Source organism: Homo sapiens, chromosome 6 (assembly GCF_000001405.40).
Source record: "Homo sapiens chromosome 6, GRCh38.p14 Primary Assembly".
Taxonomy (NCBI): domain Eukaryota; kingdom Metazoa; phylum Chordata; class Mammalia; order Primates; family Hominidae; genus Homo; species Homo sapiens.
In genome coordinates this window covers 110804455-110822513 of record NC_000006.12, presented here as the reverse complement: position 1 = coordinate 110822513, position 18059 = coordinate 110804455, and the positions used below count along the sequence as shown (strand labels likewise).

General features: G+C 43.6%; 2 protein-coding genes across 12 annotated transcripts in view, besides 4 other annotated features; one reads left to right on the top strand and one right to left on the bottom strand.

Annotated features, from left to right (window-relative positions):
- AMD1 (adenosylmethionine decarboxylase 1) overlaps positions 1-7897 on the bottom strand; it is an 81097-nt gene extending 73200 nt beyond the window's left edge. Inside the window, exon 1 of the mRNA NM_001287215.2 lies at positions 7699-7897. The gene's annotated coding sequence lies outside the window, so the exon portion shown is untranslated. The remainder of the gene's footprint in view (positions 1-7698) is intronic.
- Positions 6659-18059, top strand: part of CDK19 (cyclin dependent kinase 19) — a 205878-nt gene continuing 194477 nt past the window's right edge. For 5 of the 11 annotated variants that reach the window (XM_047418469.1, NM_001300960.2, NM_015076.5 and 2 more), the window contains exon 1: positions 7045-7505. In XM_047418469.1, the coding sequence (XP_047274425.1) occupies positions 7378-7505 (128 nt within the window). In that variant the 5' untranslated portion in view covers positions 7045-7377. Of the gene's footprint in view, positions 6707-6876; positions 6944-7044; positions 7506-18059 lie in introns of those variants that run through there. The other 6 variants (XM_047418470.1, NM_001300964.2, XM_011535630.3 and 3 more) reach the window with 3 other exon arrangements.
- Positions 6745-6824: an enhancer, noted in NCBI's record as "active region_24938". NCBI's record gives its function as "activates an Ori minimal core promoter by ATAC-STARR-seq in GM12878 lymphoblastoid cells {active_cell/tissue: GM12878}" and the evidence as "EXISTENCE:reporter gene assay evidence [ECO:0000049][PMID:35858748]".
- Positions 7398-7950: an enhancer, noted in NCBI's record as "H3K27ac hESC enhancer chr6:111135767-111136319 (GRCh37/hg19 assembly coordinates)". NCBI's record gives its function as "activates a minimal SCP1, AML or CMV promoter by ChIP-STARR-seq in naive H9 embryonic stem cells {active_cell/tissue: H9 hESC(naive)}" and the evidence as "EXISTENCE:reporter gene assay evidence [ECO:0000049][PMID:30033119]".
- Positions 7465-7774: a silencer, noted in NCBI's record as "silent region_17468". NCBI's record gives its function as "represses an Ori minimal core promoter by ATAC-STARR-seq in GM12878 lymphoblastoid cells {active_cell/tissue: GM12878}" and the evidence as "EXISTENCE:reporter gene assay evidence [ECO:0000049][PMID:35858748]".
- Positions 8185-8294: an enhancer, noted in NCBI's record as "active region_24937". NCBI's record gives its function as "activates an Ori minimal core promoter by ATAC-STARR-seq in GM12878 lymphoblastoid cells {active_cell/tissue: GM12878}" and the evidence as "EXISTENCE:reporter gene assay evidence [ECO:0000049][PMID:35858748]".

Sequence of the window (18059 nt, the reverse complement as noted above, 5' to 3'; positions counted from 1 at the left end):
TGGAATTGGTTCAGTAGGATTGGTACCAAGAATGTCTGCTAGAATTTGGCTGTGAATCTTTCTGGCCTGGGCTTTTTTTTTCTTGGCAATCTCACTGCTTGTTATTGGTCTGTTCAGGATTTCTATTTCTTTCTCATTCAAACTAGGAGTGTTGTATATTTCCAGGAATTTATCTATTTCCTCTAGGCTTTCTAGTTTGTGTGCACAGAGTTGTTCATAGCAGTCTCAAATGATCTTTTGTATTTCTGTGGTGTTAGTTGTAATGTCTCCATTTTCATTTCTAATTGAGCTTATTTGAATCTTCTATTTTCCTGTTTTTTTCCCTTTCTGCCCAGGCTACAGTGTAGTGGTGTGATCTCGGCTCACTGCCACCTTGGCCTCCCAAAGTGCTGGGATTACAGGAGTGAGCCACTGTGCCAGGCCTTCTCTCTTATTTTCTTGGTTATTCTAGCTAATGGAATATTGATTTTGTTTATGTTTTCAAGGAAACACCTGTTTCATTGATCTTTTGTATTTTTCTTTCAATTTCATTTAGTTCTGCTCTGATCTTTGTTATTTCTGCTCTTCTGCTAGCTTCGGGTTTGGTTTATTCTTGTATCTCTATTTCCTGGAGGTATGATGTTAGGTTGTCAATTTGTGACCTTTCAGACTTTTTGATGTAGGCATTTAGCACTAAAAACTTTCCTCTCAGAACTGCTTTTGCTGTATCCCAAAGGTTTTGATATTTGATAACTTATGTCACTATTATTCATTTCAAATAATTTTATTTTATTTTATTTTGAGACAAGGTCTCATTCCATTGCCCACACCCACCTTTCCTTTTAACTTGAACAAACTGTTAAAAGCATTACATTTTTCTTTTATTGCAGATTTTTTCTTTTCTTTCTTCTTCTTCTTTTTTTAGATGGAGTTTTGCTCGTCTCCCAGGCTGGAGTGCAACGGCATGATCTTGGCTCACTGCAACCTCTGCCTCCTGGGTTCAAGTGATTCTCCCGCCTCAGCCTCCCAAGTAGCTGGGATTACAGGTGCCCGCCACCACACTCGGCTAATTTTTGTGTTTTTAGTAGAGACGGGGTTTCACCATGTTGACTAGGGTGGTCTCTTGGCCAGGCTGGTCTTGAACTCTTGACCTAGTGATCCACCCGCCTCGGCCTCCCAAAGTGCTGGGATTACAGGCGTGAGCCACTGTGCCCGGCTTGTCTCAGTGTGTTTATATGTAAATGGGAAAAATAGAACATGTTGGGTCTCAGAAAACAGAACTCCAAAATATGGCACTTTGGCATGTTGAACTAAAGCAGCAGCCTCCAGCTGCTGCCTCCATGCCGCCACCATTTCTCAATCCTCTGTTCCTCCCAAAGCACAGGATGAGGCTATTCTCTGAAGTTCTCTTATCTACATAGAAACTGAAACTGCTGTAGAAGAACACAACTTTTAATTCTCTCCCTGGAATTTCATTAACCAGCGAAGATTAAAACTCATATCACAAAGGAAGACACTGAAAATTAAACACCACAGTAGAGACCAGATGAACTTTGTCCCACACTATGTTCTGTTGTCTGGTCCCATTTAGTTTCTTATTTTATTTATTTATTTTTGAGACGGAGTCTTGCCCTGTTGCCCAGGCTGGAGTGCTGTGGCACGATCTTGCTGTGGCACGATCTCAGCTAACTGTAACCTCTGCCTCCCGGGTTCAAGTGATTCTCCTGCCTCAGCCTCCCAAGTAGCTGGGATTATAGGCATGCACCACCATGCCCTGCTAATTTTTGTATTTTTAGTAAAGATGGGGGTTTCACCGTGCTGGCCAGGCTGGTCTCCAGCTCTTGACTTCAAGTGATCTGCCCACCTTGGCCTCCCAAAGTGCTGGGATTACAGGCATCAGCCACCACGCTTGGCCCATTTAGTTTCTAATGATAATCATTTACTAACCATTTTGTGAGCATTGGGCCCACTCATTTCCCCTAAAAACGATTTACTACCAGCCGGGTGTGGTAGCTCATGCCTGTAATCCCAGCACTTTGGGAGGCCAAGGCAGGCAGCTCACCTGGAGGTCGGGAGTTGGAGACCAGCCTGATGAACATGGAGAAACCCCATCTCTACTGAAAATACAAAATTAGGCGGGCATGCGAGTGCATGCCTATAATCCCAGCTACCTGGGAGGCTGAGGCAGGAGAATCGCTTGAACCTGGGAGGTGGAGGTCGTGGTGAGCCAAGATCGCACCATTGCGCTCCAGCCTGGGCAACAAGAGCAAAAGTCCATCTCAAAAAAAAAAAAAGAAAGAAAGAAAGAAAGAATTTGGGGTGCGTCCATAGAGTAAAGTGAAAGCAAGTTTACTGGAGAAGTAAACAAAAGAATGGCTACTCCATAGGCAGAGCAGAGATATGGGCTGCTCCACTGAGTATACTTACAGTTATTTCTTGGTTACATGATAAACAAGGGGTGGATTATTCACAAGTTTTCTGGGAAAGACATGGGGATTTCCCAGAATTGAGGGCTTCTCCCCTTTTTAGACTCTATAGGGTAACTTCTCAAGTTGCTATGGCATTTGTAAACTGTCATGGCACTGGTAGGATGTCTCCTATAATGCATGCTAATGCATTATAACTAACATATAATGGGCAACAAGGAGACCAGGGGTCAGTGAGTAGACCAGAGGTCACCATCCTGGTTTTGGTGGGTTTTGTCTAGCTTCTTTACTGCATCTTATCAGTGGAGTCTTTATGATCTGTATCTTGTGCAGGCTTCCTATTTCACCATGTGACTAAAAACACCTAGCTTCCTGGGAATGCAGCACAGCAGGTCTCAGCCTTATTCTACCCTATTCAAGATGGAGTCACTGTGGTTCAAATGCCTGACAGTTATTTCTATCTTGATGCCCCCATAGGTACTTCCAATTCGACATGCCCCAACCAAGCTTATCTTTCTCTCAAAAATTGCTCCCATTCCTGTGTTTCCTAACTTTCTGAAATTTCTACCATATTGCTGAAGTCAAAATTCTCAAAGTTATCTTGGATTCTTCCCTCTCCTTTAGTCCCACATTTAATTAATTACTAAGTCTTGTTAAATTTTACTCCTAAATAATTATAGTATGTGCTTTTTTCTTATAGTGCTGCTCTTCCGTGGTTCAGATCCTTGTTTTTTGTTTGTTAGTTTGTTTTGAAACAGAGTTTCGATCTTGTTGCCCAGGCTGGAGTGCAATGGTGCAATCTTGGCTCACTGCAACCTCTGCCTCCCAGGTTCAAGTGATTCTCCTGCCTCAGCCTCCTGAGTAGCTGGGATTACAGGCATGCGCCACCACGCCCGGCTCATTTTGTATTTGTAGTAGAGACGGGGTTTCTCCGTGTTGATTAGGCTGGTCTCAAACTCCTGGACTGAGGTGATCCGCCCACCTCGGCCTCCCAAAGTGGTGGGATTACAGCCATGAGCCACTGCACCCGGCCCAGATCGTTGTTTTTACCGTCCTATTGCAATAGCTTCTTTGCTAGTCTCACCTTCCTCCAATTGAACCTGAACACTTTTGTCAGAGAATTTGCTTAATACTCAGGGCTGATTATAGTTCTCCTTAGCTCAAAAGTGTGTAATAGCTTCCTATTGCCTACAGAATTGAGAAAAGAAAAAAACTTTCATTTGAGGAATGTGAGGCCTTTTAAATTATAAGGCACAGAGAGACATTAAAATAATACAGGAATTAGGCTCGCGCCTATAATCCCAACACTTTGGGAGGCCAAGGTGGGCGGATCACTTGATGCCAGGAGTTCAAGACCAGCCTGGCCAACATGGCAAAACCCTGTCTCTACTAAAAATACAATTAGTTGGGCTTGGTGGCACATGCCTGTAATCCCAGCTACACAGGAGGCTGAGACAGGAGAATCACTAGAACCCAGGAGGCAGAGACTGCAGTGAGGTGAGATCGCGCCACAGCATTCCAGCCTGGGTGACAGAGCAAGACTCTGTCTCAAAATAAATAAATAAATAAATAAATATATATATAAATAAGATACTGGAATCAGGTGATACTTTCCCCTTGAGCTATGTATTCATCTCCTGAAATGCTTGCTATTGCCACAAGTAGCTACAAATTAATCCAATAATGCTGCACCAGATGCTATAACCCACACCCTATATCTTAACAATGTATAGCTCATTCATTAATCAATGTTATTCCTGTAAACCAATGAGAATTCCTCACAAACAACTTTGAGCCCACTTCCTATCCCCCTTTTTTTGCCTTTAAAAATCTACTTGCAACTGCTCCTGATTGGAGTGTACATTCAGGGCAACTTGTATCTATACTCCTGGGTTGCAATTCTAAAGCTTGGCTCAAATAAACTCTCTACTTATATTAATTTTGCCCCAGCTTTTTCCTTTTAGGTCGACAGAATAATGAAACCTAAAACCTCTCCCTGACATAAATAGCTTTTCATAATTTGACCTCTGCTTATCTGTTTAGTATTTTCTTATCCATTACTTTTTCCTGTCTTAATCTGTAATATTCAAACTAGTTGCATTTCTCAGAATATATGATGTTCTCTCATGATTTATGTACATGCTGTTCTACCTGAAATAATTCCTTGTTTCTTGCTCTTCGACTTGTCCTTCAAGTAAAGGCTTACTCATGCTTTAAATTTTGGCTCTCACTCAGCAGATGGGGCTGGAGTGAAAAAAAAATTTGGCTCAAACCTACCTACTTCATGAAGTCTACCCTGACTCACTTAGAACCCCGCCTATTCTACCAGTGCTCTTTTAAACCACAGTTTATTTTTAATTTGCTTGCATATTTGTTTTTTCAGGTTTAATTCCCCAATGGAAAAAGACTAATTTTTTTCCTGCTATCTCCAGCAGTTATTATAGTGCATGGCAACAAGAGCAACTGAGATTTTTCTTGATTAAAGATACCATTTTTTTTTGAGTCGGGGTCTTGCTCTGTTGCCCAGGCTGGAGTGCAGTGGCATGGTCTCAGCTCACTGCAACTTCTGCCTCCCGGGTTCAAGGGATTCTCCTGCCTCAGCCTCCCGAGTAAATGGGACTACAGACACATGCTACCACACCTGGCTAATTTTTGCATTTTTAATAAGAGGCAGGGTTTCACTGTCTTGGCCAGGCTGGTCTTGAACTCCAGACCTCGTGATCCACCCGCCTTGGCCTCCCAAAGTGCTGGGATTACAGGTGTGAGCCACTGCACCCAGCCTGAAGAGACTCAAGGTCTAAGGAAGTTTTCCAGGAGTGGGTGATGTAGCAAATAAGGTAAATCATTCCCCCTCCCACTAGTTTTCCAAGTTTCTTTCAAAACCTAGCAGGCAGTTCACTATTCTTTCCTTATCTACCACTTTGGGTAGAATTGACAATTCCCTTCTTTGTCCTCCTAATGAATGTGTTATGTCCTATCCTAGCACCAATCATGTTTAAGTGTGTATCCCAAACATTTGGGACATTAGGCTCACCATTACAGGGGAGGAAACCCTCTTAGGTTCTTCAGCTGGTCTATAAACTAAATTGATACCAGTCAGGTTAACAGGAGAAAAAGTTTTAATTACGTATGTATGCACAAGAGTCCCACAAAATATGAGACTCAAAGAAGGGCCAGATGTTTGACACTTATATTACATCCTGACCTCAAAAAGGAAGTGGGGCCCGGCATGGTGGCACGGACCTGTAATCCCAGCTACTCAGGAGTCTGAGGCAGGAGGATCCTTGAGCTCAGGAGTTGGACGCCAGCCTGGGCAACACAGCAAGGCCAGTCTCTTCAAAACAAAAGTGGGGTTTGGGGCTTCCAGGAGTGGTGGAGACAAGTTAAGAGAGGATAAGAGGAAAAAATGTCTAAGGTGAATAAAGGTTGACTTTTATGCAGATAAAAGTATCTCAGATGATACAAGTTGACTAGCAGCAGCTCTCTTTCTGGTAAGATTCCTTTAATTACGAAAATTTCCTTTAGAAATGTAAATTTCTCTTTACAAAGGAAGAGTTATTCTTTATTTTAGGCAGTAGTGGGATAAGTGAAGCATTTTCCTGTGTTGGCTGGATCTTAATTTATTTTGCTAAAAGACATCAATATGCCAGAGTGGCGTATTTTGGGGTGGCATATTCTGGACTCCTTCAGTTATAATTTGGGGTAGTGTGTCCTGAGCCCCAACACAATGAAATCAATCAACGTTCACCCTAACTAAAGGGGCTTTCTTAAACATTCTAGAACCTCACATCATGCATAGACCATAAAAAATCCTTTACAATTCAACCCAAAGGATCGTAAACGCGGCTTCCTCCAGGCACTTTTAATTGTCCTTAGACAGATGGCCAAAGCCTGGTTATGGGAACCGCATATGCTAAGAGAAAGCTGACTACAGCGCCAAGAAAATGATGATTGGCTGCTGGGGCTCAGAAGTTGCATGTTCTCCTCTGGCCAAGGCAGGCTCTAGGAAACTGCTGAAGGTTCAGTTTTTGAAATACGGTTTTTGCATCGTAAAGAAAAAAGATCAACCTATCAGGAAGAACCGAGCACATCCAATCACCAATCAAGAGCGGGAAAGAAGCCAAAGCCTGGGGATACCCACGCACCAACGAGGACGTCATTCTCCAGCCCCCGCCAATGAGCAGCGGGACGGGGGGCGGGGCAATAGGCGGACCCACTGCCCTAGAAAAGAAACAAGCTGCGGTACAACTGTCCTCACCAGCCCTCGCCTCCCGAGTCACTGCAGCCAACCCTTCAGCAAGGTGCTGATTTAATGCTTTCCATACTCTCTGCGTGGGGCTAGTTACAGTGAAGTATCCCCTTCCCACTAGAGTAAGGCACTTCTTTCCAGTGTCTCCCCGAGAACCGCAGAAAGCACACTGGAACTTCGAGCTTTCTACCTTCACAGGAACCGGGAGCCGTGCGCTACCTGAGGGGGAGGGGCGGCCCTGGTACGCAGGCGCGCATGCTTTGTGGGGGCGAGGCTGTGGTGGCCCGAGGTAACCTGGGAGCTGTATTTCTTACGCCGGCAAAACCGCCCAGGCCGCTGAGGCCTTCGCGACTTCATTTCCCAGGAGCCTCCGCGACCATGGGGCGGGCCAGTGAGTTCGCTAATGAGCTCGAGGAAGCCACGGCGCGGCCCACCAGGTTCCAAAACAAGGAAATGAAGGAGGGAGGCGGGACTGGGGGTGCCTGCGGGAGCCGCCGCCGCCGTCGCGGAGGAGGAGGAGGAAGAGGTGGAGGAGGTGGCTGCTGTGGCCGCCGAGGAGTCCCTTGCTGAAGGCGGACCGCGGAGCGGCGGGCGGCGGGCGGCGCGCGCGCGCGCGCGAGAGGCGGCTGTTGGAGAAGTGGAGCGGCGGTCGCGGGGGGAGGAGGAGGAGGGACTGAGCGGCGGCGGCCCCCGCGTCCCGTGCCTCTATGGGGGAAGCAGACAATGGATTATGATTTCAAGGCGAAGCTGGCGGCGGAGCGGGAGCGGGTGGAGGATTTGTTTGAGTACGAAGGGTGCAAAGTGGGACGCGGCACCTACGGTCACGTCTACAAGGCGAGGCGGAAAGATGGGTAAGAGCAGGGGCGGGAGGAGTAGGCTCGCTCGGGTCCTCGCCCTGCCCGCGACCTGGCGGGATGGGTGGGTCGGATCCCAGTCGGGCCGTGCCCGAGGGGCGAGGCGGAGGGGGTCGCGGGGTTGCGTCCGGACACCGACTCCGAGGGGCGCCCGTTCCGCCCGCCTCCCCCGCGCGGCCCCGTCGCGTACCTCGAACTCCCGCGGCGCAGCCCGGTCCGAGGCGTCGGTCCCGTCCCAGAGGGGCGCCCTCCGAGTGCTCGGAGACGGCGGGGGGACTCGAGTTGGGACCGCGGTGGAGGAGGAGTTTGTGGGGTCTAGTCTCTTGGGGGAACGCAGCGGGCAGGCAGAGCTCCGCTGCGGAGTTGCCGCTCCGGCCCTGGGTAGTGACGGTCGTTGTGGAACTTCCAATCGGCTGAGCGCCTCGCGGGGGCGGCGGTTTGAAACCTCGCCGGGGAGCCTGTCGGGCGAACGCGGCCTGGGGTCCTCGCCAGCCCCACGGCTCTGACCCGCTGGGCACCGCCGCCCCCAGCAGCGATCTCCGCCCTTCGGGCTGGCCGGCCCGTTGGCTTCTCTATGCAGTCCTCCCATCCCTGTTGTATGCCCGGCGTCCCGGGTTTCTCATTCTCACATTCTGAATTGCGTACCTTCCCCCTTCGAAGGAGACCTGATGGGCTAGCTGCGTTTCGCAAGCGGCAACTTAAGAGTTGGCTGAATTCTCTGCTACCCACCCTTTACCTTGCAGCCCCTTGGGTATCTTGGGTATTATGTCCTCCACTCCATCCTCTGCCAGATGACTGTGGGCTGGGGCTTATGGAGTACCTATATTATCAAGAACGGAATACGAAGTGACAGAGCTGGGCCTGAACCTTTGTTTTCCTAGGAGTTGAGGGAGAACTGTAGGAACACCTTGGGAAGCCTTTACTGGTTGTCCTCTTAAGAAGAGCTGGATAATGTACTGAGAATACCTGTCCTTTCTTGGTCCTGGAGGGCAGACAGCAGCTACAGCAGGACTGGTGGAACCAGCTTCCTGGCAGGAATTACCCTCCCCCAAAGCTAGGGACCCAGGAAGATGCCCTGTCCAGCATAGACTTTAAAGAGAGTCAAACTCTACGGAAGAGGATTGTAACGGACCATTTCTGAATAAAGTGATGATCAGCCACAATGACATTAGTAAAATTTGAAGTGCCGCTTATCTTTGTGCGTGCTGTTATAATTTGATGTGGTTGGTATATGAACTCTAGGACTAAAGTACGTTGTGTGCGTATGCACTAACTTCATAAAACAACTCTATTATAAAGTGTTTTGTCATAAGGTATCGTGAAAATTGCAAAGTGCTATCCAAGTGTAAAGGATTATTATTATTGCAGAATTTTTTTTTTCTTTTGTAACTGAACAGGCCTTAAGGTACTCAGTTGTTTCTCATAATTCCTTTAATTACCAGGTGTCCTTGAATGCTTATCATGGAATGTGAGATACTATAATTAACATATTTTGGTTTTGGAATATCCACTCCACCTGTTATACTAGTGTTCTTGTGGGAATTTTATCAGTTATATTTGGGGAAAGCACATCCAGTTTTCCGTTTGGACATTGTTAATAAATCTGAGGTGGGTTTTTCCCATACTCCTCATGCTAACTTTGTGGTATACTTTTGGTTTTAAAAAATGTATCTTAGTGTTTTTTTTGTTAAAATAGCTTTCTTTTATTAGGGAACTTTTGAGAAGTTAAAAATTCTGCTTCTGAATTGTATTTGAATAGTATGGGCTTACAACAAAAACCAGATAATTCTTGCTTCTATTCTTTTTGAATATTTTTCCCCTCTAATAAAGTACTTGATTCGAATACACTTCCTTTTTGAGTGAAATTTGTTAATTAGAATTAATAAAGCTTCTTTACTAGAGTAAGATTAGTTTGTGTGTCTTCAAAATATAATGCTTTTTTTCTAAAAAAAAAAAAAACCTCTCAGGATCTGAAAGCATTAGTTTAAATCACTGTATTACGTATAAGAAAAACCGTAATAAAGGCTTTTTTCCTGGATGAAAGATCTGGTTGAGATTTGCAACTTTACAGTAAACACCCACGTCTCTTGTGGGTTGGTAGTGGGATTAATTTTATGTTCATTGATACCAGCAATTTGAAAGAACATCTGTGTCCTTTGGGTTCATGTTAAATTTTTTTTTTTTTTTTTTTTTACTGTTTTAAACAGTGGGCAGATTTGCATAGTAAAGGATTTTACACTCCGATCATGGTAGATTACAGTTTAGCTCTTTCTAGATTTTATTTTGGTTAACTCAGAAAATGCATAATGCTATTTTAGGGAGCCAGAAATCACATAGGTTACATTAAAGATAAATGATTCTGGTATATATAATGTAGTATATAACCAAAACATTGTTCAGGTCTTTAGAAGAAACATTAGAAGAAATAAAATATCATTAGAAAAGTTTAATACTACAGTTAGCAAAATGTTATTTCCCTTGAAGTATGACTTTAGGCAATATTAATTATATCACAAATTTATAAGAGGCTGGAAATGCAAGATTTACATCTGAGTTTTTCACCTTTAATTAAAAATATTCTCTGGGTCGGGTGCGGTGGCTCACGCCTGTAATCCCAGCACTTTGGGAGGCCGAGGCGGGTGGATCACGAGGTCAGGAGATCGAGACCATCCTGGTGAACATGGTGAAACCCCGTCTCTATTAAAAATACAAAAGGAATTAGCCGGGCATGGTGGCGGGTACTTGTAGTCCCAGCTGCTCGGGAGGCTGAGGCAGGACAATGGCGTGAACCCGGGAGGTGGAGCTTGCAGTGAGCCGAGATCCCGCCACTGCACTCCAGCCAGGGCGACAGAGCGAGACTCTGTCTCAAAAAAAAAAAAAAGTTATTTGTTCACCTTTTTGTTTTGCAGGAAGAGAGGCTTTTGACCCAACTCTCCTTTTTATTTAATATTTATACTTTTGAATATTTTTTGTAGAGACCGGGTCTTGCTGTGTTGCCAGAGCTAGTCTTGAACTCCTGGGCTCAAGTGATCTTCCTGTCTCAGCCTCCCAAAATGCTGGGATTACAAGTGTGAGCCATCATGCTGGACCTCCAACTCTCTTTTACTTTAAAAAAAAAAAAAAATCCGGTTTAAAAGTTGTTCTTTTTTTGTTTTTTCGTTTTACAGACAGGGTCTTGCTGTGTTGTTCAGGTTGGTCTTGAACTCCTGGCTTCCCAAAGTGCTGGCATTACAGGCTCATGCCACCACACCCAGCCAAATGTTACTCTTGAAGAGAAACAAGTTCAGAATATTTCTGAACTTTTTAATACAAGCAAGAATTCATAAAATAAATTTTCTTCATTATTAAGAAGTCGCACATGACAATTTATGGTTACAAATTTCAAGACTGCATTTTTCCAGTTAGAAACATTTAAAAATTTGATCGATAAAGGAATATTGTTAAAAAGTTCTTTTGTTGGCCGGGCGCCGTGGCTCACACCTTTAATCCCAGCACTTTGGGAAGCCGAGGCAGGTGGATCACCTGAGACCAGGAGACCAGCCTGGCCAACAAGACGAAACCCCGTCTCTTCTAAAAATACAAAAATTAGCCGAGCGTGGTGCCTTGCATGGCTGACACAGCTTACAGAGTTTGTTTTGTCAGGGTTTCAAATGAGTGGTTGATGACTACATAACTTAATGTATGTCATGAAATTCTTCACAATGAGTACATGTAGATGCATATAGCTAATAGGTACAATAGTATTTGCCTGTGTTTGATGGGTTTTTCACAATCGGTTTGTAGTTAGATTATTGTATTTGCATTTTTGTTGGACACTTACAGAAGATTAAAGATTTGTCAGTATCATCAGAGGATTAGAACTTTCCAAAGTTTTAGATCATCTAGTTCAATTTCCTCTTTTTACAAATGAGAAACCTAGAGCTTTGAGAGGTTAACTGTCATGCTCATAGTGTCACAGCAGAGATAGCCTGTAATCCACATCTAACTCAAGAGTTCTTGCATTTTCCTTCCTAATACCATGGGAGGAAAAACAAAAAAAGGCCATCTTACCTCCAGTCTTGATAACTTACTGTATAAACCTTTTTGCATGCCAAAAGTGCATTTATACCAAAAAAAAATATGGAAAAGGGAAATTATCACATATACAGGACATTTACAAAGTGGGAGTGCAGGACTGTAGATTCTACTACATGTAGCTGCTGCTTTTCTTTTTTCTTTTCTTTTTTTTTTTTGAGATGGAGTTTGCTCTTGTTGCCCAGGCTGGAGTGCAATTGTGCGATCTCAGCTCACTGCAACCTCCGCCTCTTGGGTTCCAGCGATTGTCCTGCCTCAGCCTCCTGAGTAGCTGGGATTACAGGCATGCACCACCACGCCTGGCTGATTTTGTATTTTTAATAGAGATGGGGTTTCTCCATGTTGGTTAGGCTGGTCTCGAACTCCCAACCTCAGGTGATCCACCTGCCTCGGCCTCCCAAAGTGCTGGGATTATAGGCGTGAGCCACCTTACCTGGCCATGCTGCTGCTTTTCATCTGTTTTTTTCTTCATCCTCACTGTCAACACTTTTGGCCATTATTTCTGATTTGGATAGTAGCTGGTTGGTCTCTCACTATAGTCCAAGATCCAAATTGCTGCTAGTGTCATTTTCCTATAAAATCAATCATGTCATATCTCTTTTTGGAAAGCTATACGTTTGCTATGGCTTATACTATCAGATCCAATCTCATCTCTTTCTCTTCTCTCCTTGCATGATTCATACTTGAGACTTAGATCCAATTTTAATTCCTTAGTTTGTCATGTAAAGACATTTACATTCAGACCCTGAAGTCTGTAGTCTTTATACCTGCCACCATTTCTTTTTTCCAGTTGCATTTAAGCTATATACTTCTGTAGCATTGAACTCGTATTTTCTGGTACTTAAGTCCTTTCATGTCTCATTTTCTTTGTTCTACATTCACTTTAGAATGGTGTTGCTGTGCCATTCTTCCCTCCCCCTTTTCCCTTATCCTTACAAACCTGTAAAACTCATACTTCAATACCCAACTCAAATAGCTTTCCTCCTTGAAGCCTTCTCTTAATCACTCGGTGTACTCCTCAGCTGTGTTTCTACCCCTTTGTTCTTACATATGTAAAGTCACTGTAAGTGATACTAATATGCCTCATAAATTACTAGCTGCAAAAGGATCATCATTCTGTCCAGTGCCTTGTACAGAGTTGGTCACATAATACACAAAATTATATTCAATTAAAAATGCCTTTAATTGGTAAAGATGCTCCACTGATTTTAAAAGCAGACCAAATTCCTTTAAAAACGCAAGTTTATTTACTTTTCTTAAAAAACGAAGTTTTTAGTAATTGCTTTGAAAGCCTGAAATACAGTAATGTTATATGAAATAGGTGGTTAGATGTAAATACTTCTAATGTATTTTTTCTAAGAAATGTACTGCTTTTCCAAACAGTTGATAAATTTCTTTTTTCATTTTTTTCACTTGAGACTGTCTCACTCTATCACCAAGGCTGGAGTGCTGTCGTGCAGTCGTAGCTGACTGTAGCCTTGAACTCCTGGGCTCAAGTGATCCTCCTGCCTCAGGCTCTTGCGTAGCTAGGACCACAGATGCACGTGCTGGCTAATTTTTGTTGTTGTTTTGTAGAGACGAGGTCTCACTGTGTTCACTGTGTTGCCCAGGCTGGTCTCGAACTCCTGGGCTCCAGTGATCCTTCTGCTTCAGCCTCCCAAAGTGCTGGGATTACAGACATGAGTCACTGTGCCTGGCCCATTTCTTTTTTTTTTTTTTGAGATGGAGTCTCGCTGTCTCCCAGGCTGGAGTGCAGTGGCGCAGTCTCGGCTCACTGCAAGCTGCGCCTCCTGGGTTCATGCCATTCTCCTGCCTCAGCCTCCCGAGTAGCTGGGACTACAGGCGCCCACCACCATGCCCGGCTAATTTTTTTTTTTTTTTGTATTTTTAGTAGAGATGGGGTTTCCCCGTGTTAGCCAGGATGGTCTAAATCTCCTGACCTCATGATCCACTTGCCTCGGCCTCCCAAAGTGCCGGGATTACAAGTGTGAGCCACCACGCCTGGCCCCATTTCTTTGAACAGATATTAGATATTGCTAAGGAAAATAGGCATATTTTTGAGAAATAAATATTTTCTCTTAGGCCAGCTCTTTTAGAATTGCTAGACTAGTAATCTGTCTTCTGTGCTTTTACTAGCTATTTTATAGAGATGCTTAGAAAATACCAGTATTTAAATACATTTTAGGACAAATTTTGGTTTTATGGGTTTATGGTAAAAAATTAAGTATCTTTAACACTTAGTAAATGAAGTAGACATCTGTTTATGTTTAACTGGTTTGTCATTTTTGTAATGCAAGCCTTCAAAAACTTTTTGAGGCCTAAGGGAAATTAATGTGTTCTTTTTCAATGAAATTTGATAATCTAGAGCAGTGATCAGCAAACTTTTTCTGGCAGATACTAAATATTTTAGGCCTTTTGGGCTTTACTGTCTCTGGTGCAATTACTCAACTCTATTGTAGTGCCAAAGCATCGACAGATAATACGTAAACCAGTATGGATAAGGATGGCTGTGTTCCAGTAGACCTTTATTTATACAAATAAGCAGTTGGCTGAATTTAGTCTGCAGGCTATAGTTTGTTGACTCCTGGTGTAGAGCAGTGATGTCCAATAGAACTTTCTGCAGTGATCTGAAAATGTTTAGCATCTGTGCTGTCCAATATGCTAGCCACAAGCCACACGCCACACATAGGTATCGATTACTGGAATGTAGTTAGTGTGATTAGAAACTAATTAGTAGCTATCACATTGGACTGTGTAGGTTTAGAGTCTTTGGATGAGTGGCTTAGCAACAAATAATTCTCTGATCCATCAAGTGACCTTTCAATAAAAATGTTTAAATCAGGGTGTGGATAAATAGGAAAACTGTTATGTCTTTTTTCAAGTTACAGGAGAAATATTAAGGCTGAAATAGCTTGATAAAGCAAACCAATACTTGAAGAACTATCAATTTATGAATGGAATCAAGGATATTTAACTACTTTTTCAAAAAAGTATTTTATGGCCGGATGAGGTGGGAGGATTGCTTGAGCCCAGGAGTTTGAGGCTATAGTGAGCTATGATGATGCCATTGCACTTCAGCATGGGCAGCAGAACGAGACTCTCTTAAAAAAAAAAAAAGGTATTATAAAAAAAAGTTTGTAAATAGTATATGTGCGTAAAAATATACAATGTGGCTGGGCGCGGTGGCTTATGCCTATAATCCCAGCTCTTTGGGGAGGCCGAGGTGGGCAGATCACTTGAGGCAAGGAGATCAAGGCCAGCCTTGCCAACAGCGAAAACTCCGTCTCTACTAAAAATACAAAAAATTAGCCGGGCGTGGTAGTACACACCTGTAATCCCAGCTACTCGGGAGGCTAAGGCACAATAATTGCTTGAACCTGGGAGGTGGAAGCTGCAGTGAGCTAATATTGCACCACTGCACTCCAGCCTGGGTGACAGAGTGAGACTCTGTTTCAATAAAACAAAAATAACAAAAAACCACCAGTGTAACGTAAGTCATCCCTTTCCCAGCCATTCTTTCCCTTTTTTAGGGGCAGTCATTCTTGGTTGTCCTTTAAGAGGATTTTCTTTTGGGGTATGTGCATGTGTGTTAACTTAAAGATGTCATTAAATATGACATGCTAGTGTGCTGCACACTTTTCTATTTTTAGATCATGGCTCACTGCAGCTTTGGCTGCCTGGGCTCAAGCAAGTCTGTCTCTTGGGCTCAAGCGATTGTTTCACCTCAGCCTCCTGAGTAACTGGGACTACAGATGTGGGCCATGCCCAGCTTTTTTTTTTTTTTTTAAATTATTTGTAGAGATGAGGTCTTGCTATGTCTCTCAGTCTGGTCTTGAACTCCTGGCCTCAAGTAATCCTCCTACCTTGACCTCCCAAAGTGCTGGGGTTACAGGCATAAGCCATCATGCTTGGCCCTATTTTTATTTTTATTTTTATTTATTTAATTTATTTATTGAGACGGAGTCTTTCTCTGTCACCCAGGCTGGAGTGCAGTGGGAAGATCTTGGCTCACTGCAACCACCACCTCCCAGGTTCAAGCAATTTTCCTGCCTCAGCCTCCTGAGTAGCGGGGACCACAGGCATATACCACTATACCTGGCTAATTTTTTGTATTTTTAGTAGAGACAGTGTTCACCATGTTGGCCAGGCTGGTCTCGAACTCCTGACCTCAAGTGATCCATCTGCCTCAGCCTCCCAAAGTGCTGGGATTACAGGCGTGAGCCACAGTGCTTGGCCCATATTTTAAATCTTAAACATTGCTTAAACATTATGACATATCTATATACAGAGATGCCTTGTTTCTCTTAATAGTTTTGTTGTATCTCATTGTATTGACTTACATCATTGGCTGTCTCCAGTCTTGCTAGTACTAACACTGAAGTGAATATCCTAGTAAGCACAGCATTTTGTACCTATTAATGTGTCTGTAAGTTAAAGTCCTAGAAGCTGTTTACCTTTGGAAGTAATGGCTTGGAATGGTTTACTAATATGGTGATGTATAAGATAGAAATATCTGAAGACTGGAGATGGGGGGGTTGGCTAAGAATAAGGAAGTGAAATGTTAAGACAATAATAATTTTTTTTTTTTTTTGAGATGGAGTTTCGCTCTTCTTGCCCAGGCTGTTGTGTGATGGCACGATCTTGGCTCACCGCAACCTCTGCCTCCCGGGTTTAAGCGATTCTCCTGCCTCAGCCTCCCAAGTAGCTGGGATTACAGGAATGCGCCACCATGCCTAGCTAATTTTGTATTTTTTAGTAGAAACGGGGTTTCATCATGTTGGCCGGGCTGGTCTCAAACTCTTGACCTCAGGTGATCTGCCCACCTCGGCCTCCCAAAGTGCTGGGATTACAAGCGTCAGCCACTGCACCCAGCTGACAGTGATAATTAACACATAAAAATGAGCTATAAATCATTTGTTAAAGGAAGTACAAGTTACTTACTTTTTTTTTTTTTTTTTGAGAAGTGTTATCCAGGCTGGGGTGCAGTGGCACGATCTTGGCTCACTGTACCTCTGCCTCCTGGGCTTAAGCTACTTTCTCATGGCTACTGTTTTAGGAGCATGGAAAAGGCATGTCTCTGAGTTTTACATAGGAAGAGTAGATCCATGGAAAGGTTTTTAATGCAATCTATGTCAGTGTTGATGAATTAAGTATTTTTATTTTTTAAAGTATATAAAATATAGTGTCCTACATTTTTGAACTTAATATGCTAGACAAATAAGTTCATATGTGGTGTTATAAATTGTGTACAGTTGACTGTTGAACAGCAGGAGTTTGAACTGTGTGGGTCCACTTACACGCAGATTTGTGAAACCTGCGTATATGAGGGCCAACTTTTTGTATAGGTGGGTTCTCCAGGGCCAACTGCAGGACCTGAGTATATGTGGGTTTTGGTATATGCAGGGGTCCCAGAACCAACCCTTTAGGTATACTGAGGGACATCTATTTGTTTTGAAAAATTATTCTATAGTGCAGGGTTAGATGACAATATAGAAGATTTTAAAGCAATATATTACAATTTGTAATTTTCTTGGTGGTAAACTATTAGAGTATTTGGATGTTTAAAAACTAATGTGTTTTTTTAAAGATCAACTTGTTATAATGTTGTGACTATATAATATTAGTGGTACTTTGGGATTCTAAAACAAAGGGACAAGATGAACAACTAGCATGACAATTTCTTTAAAACCAGTAGTATCTAGAACCATAAAGGAGTAGCAGACAAAGCTATTTAAAGATTTTTGTCCATTTACAAATAGCTGATTAGTCCAACACTTCCTGTAATAGCTGTTTTGAATGTGCACTGTACAGGATAAAAGAGAGTCTCACGAGAGAAGACAGGATGTAATTCAGGATACAAGTGTGCAGCAGTAGTTATTTATTGAGGGTTTGAGTTCTTATCCAGAAGTGAGTGATCAAAGAGAAATAAAAACCTGTAAAGTCCTCAAATAACAGGTGTCTTTTTTTTTTTGTTTTGAGACGAAGTCTTGTTCTGTCGCCCAGGTTGGAGTGCAGTGGCGCGATCTCGGCTCACTGCAAGCTCCGCCTCCTGGGTTCACGCCATTCTACTGCCTCAGTCTCCCGAGTGGCTGGGACTACAGACGCTCGCCACCACGCCCGGCTAATTTTTTTGTATTTTTAGTAGCGACGGGGTTTCACCGTGTTAGCCAGGATGGTCTCGTTCTCCTGACCTCGTGATCCGCCCGCCTCGGCCTCCCAAAGTGCTGGGATTACAGGTGTGAGCCACCGCGCCCGGCAACAGGTCTTTATAAAATATCTTTAACTTGGCGGGGTGTGGTGGCTCACGCCTGTTATCCCAGCACTTTGGGAGGCCGAGGTGGGCGGATCACGAGGTCAGTTCGAGACCAGCCTGGCCAATATGGTGAAACCCCGTCTCTACTAAAAAATACAAAAATTAGCCCAGCGTGGTGGCACGCACCTACCCTGAGTAGTCCCAGCTACTCAGGGGTCTGAGGC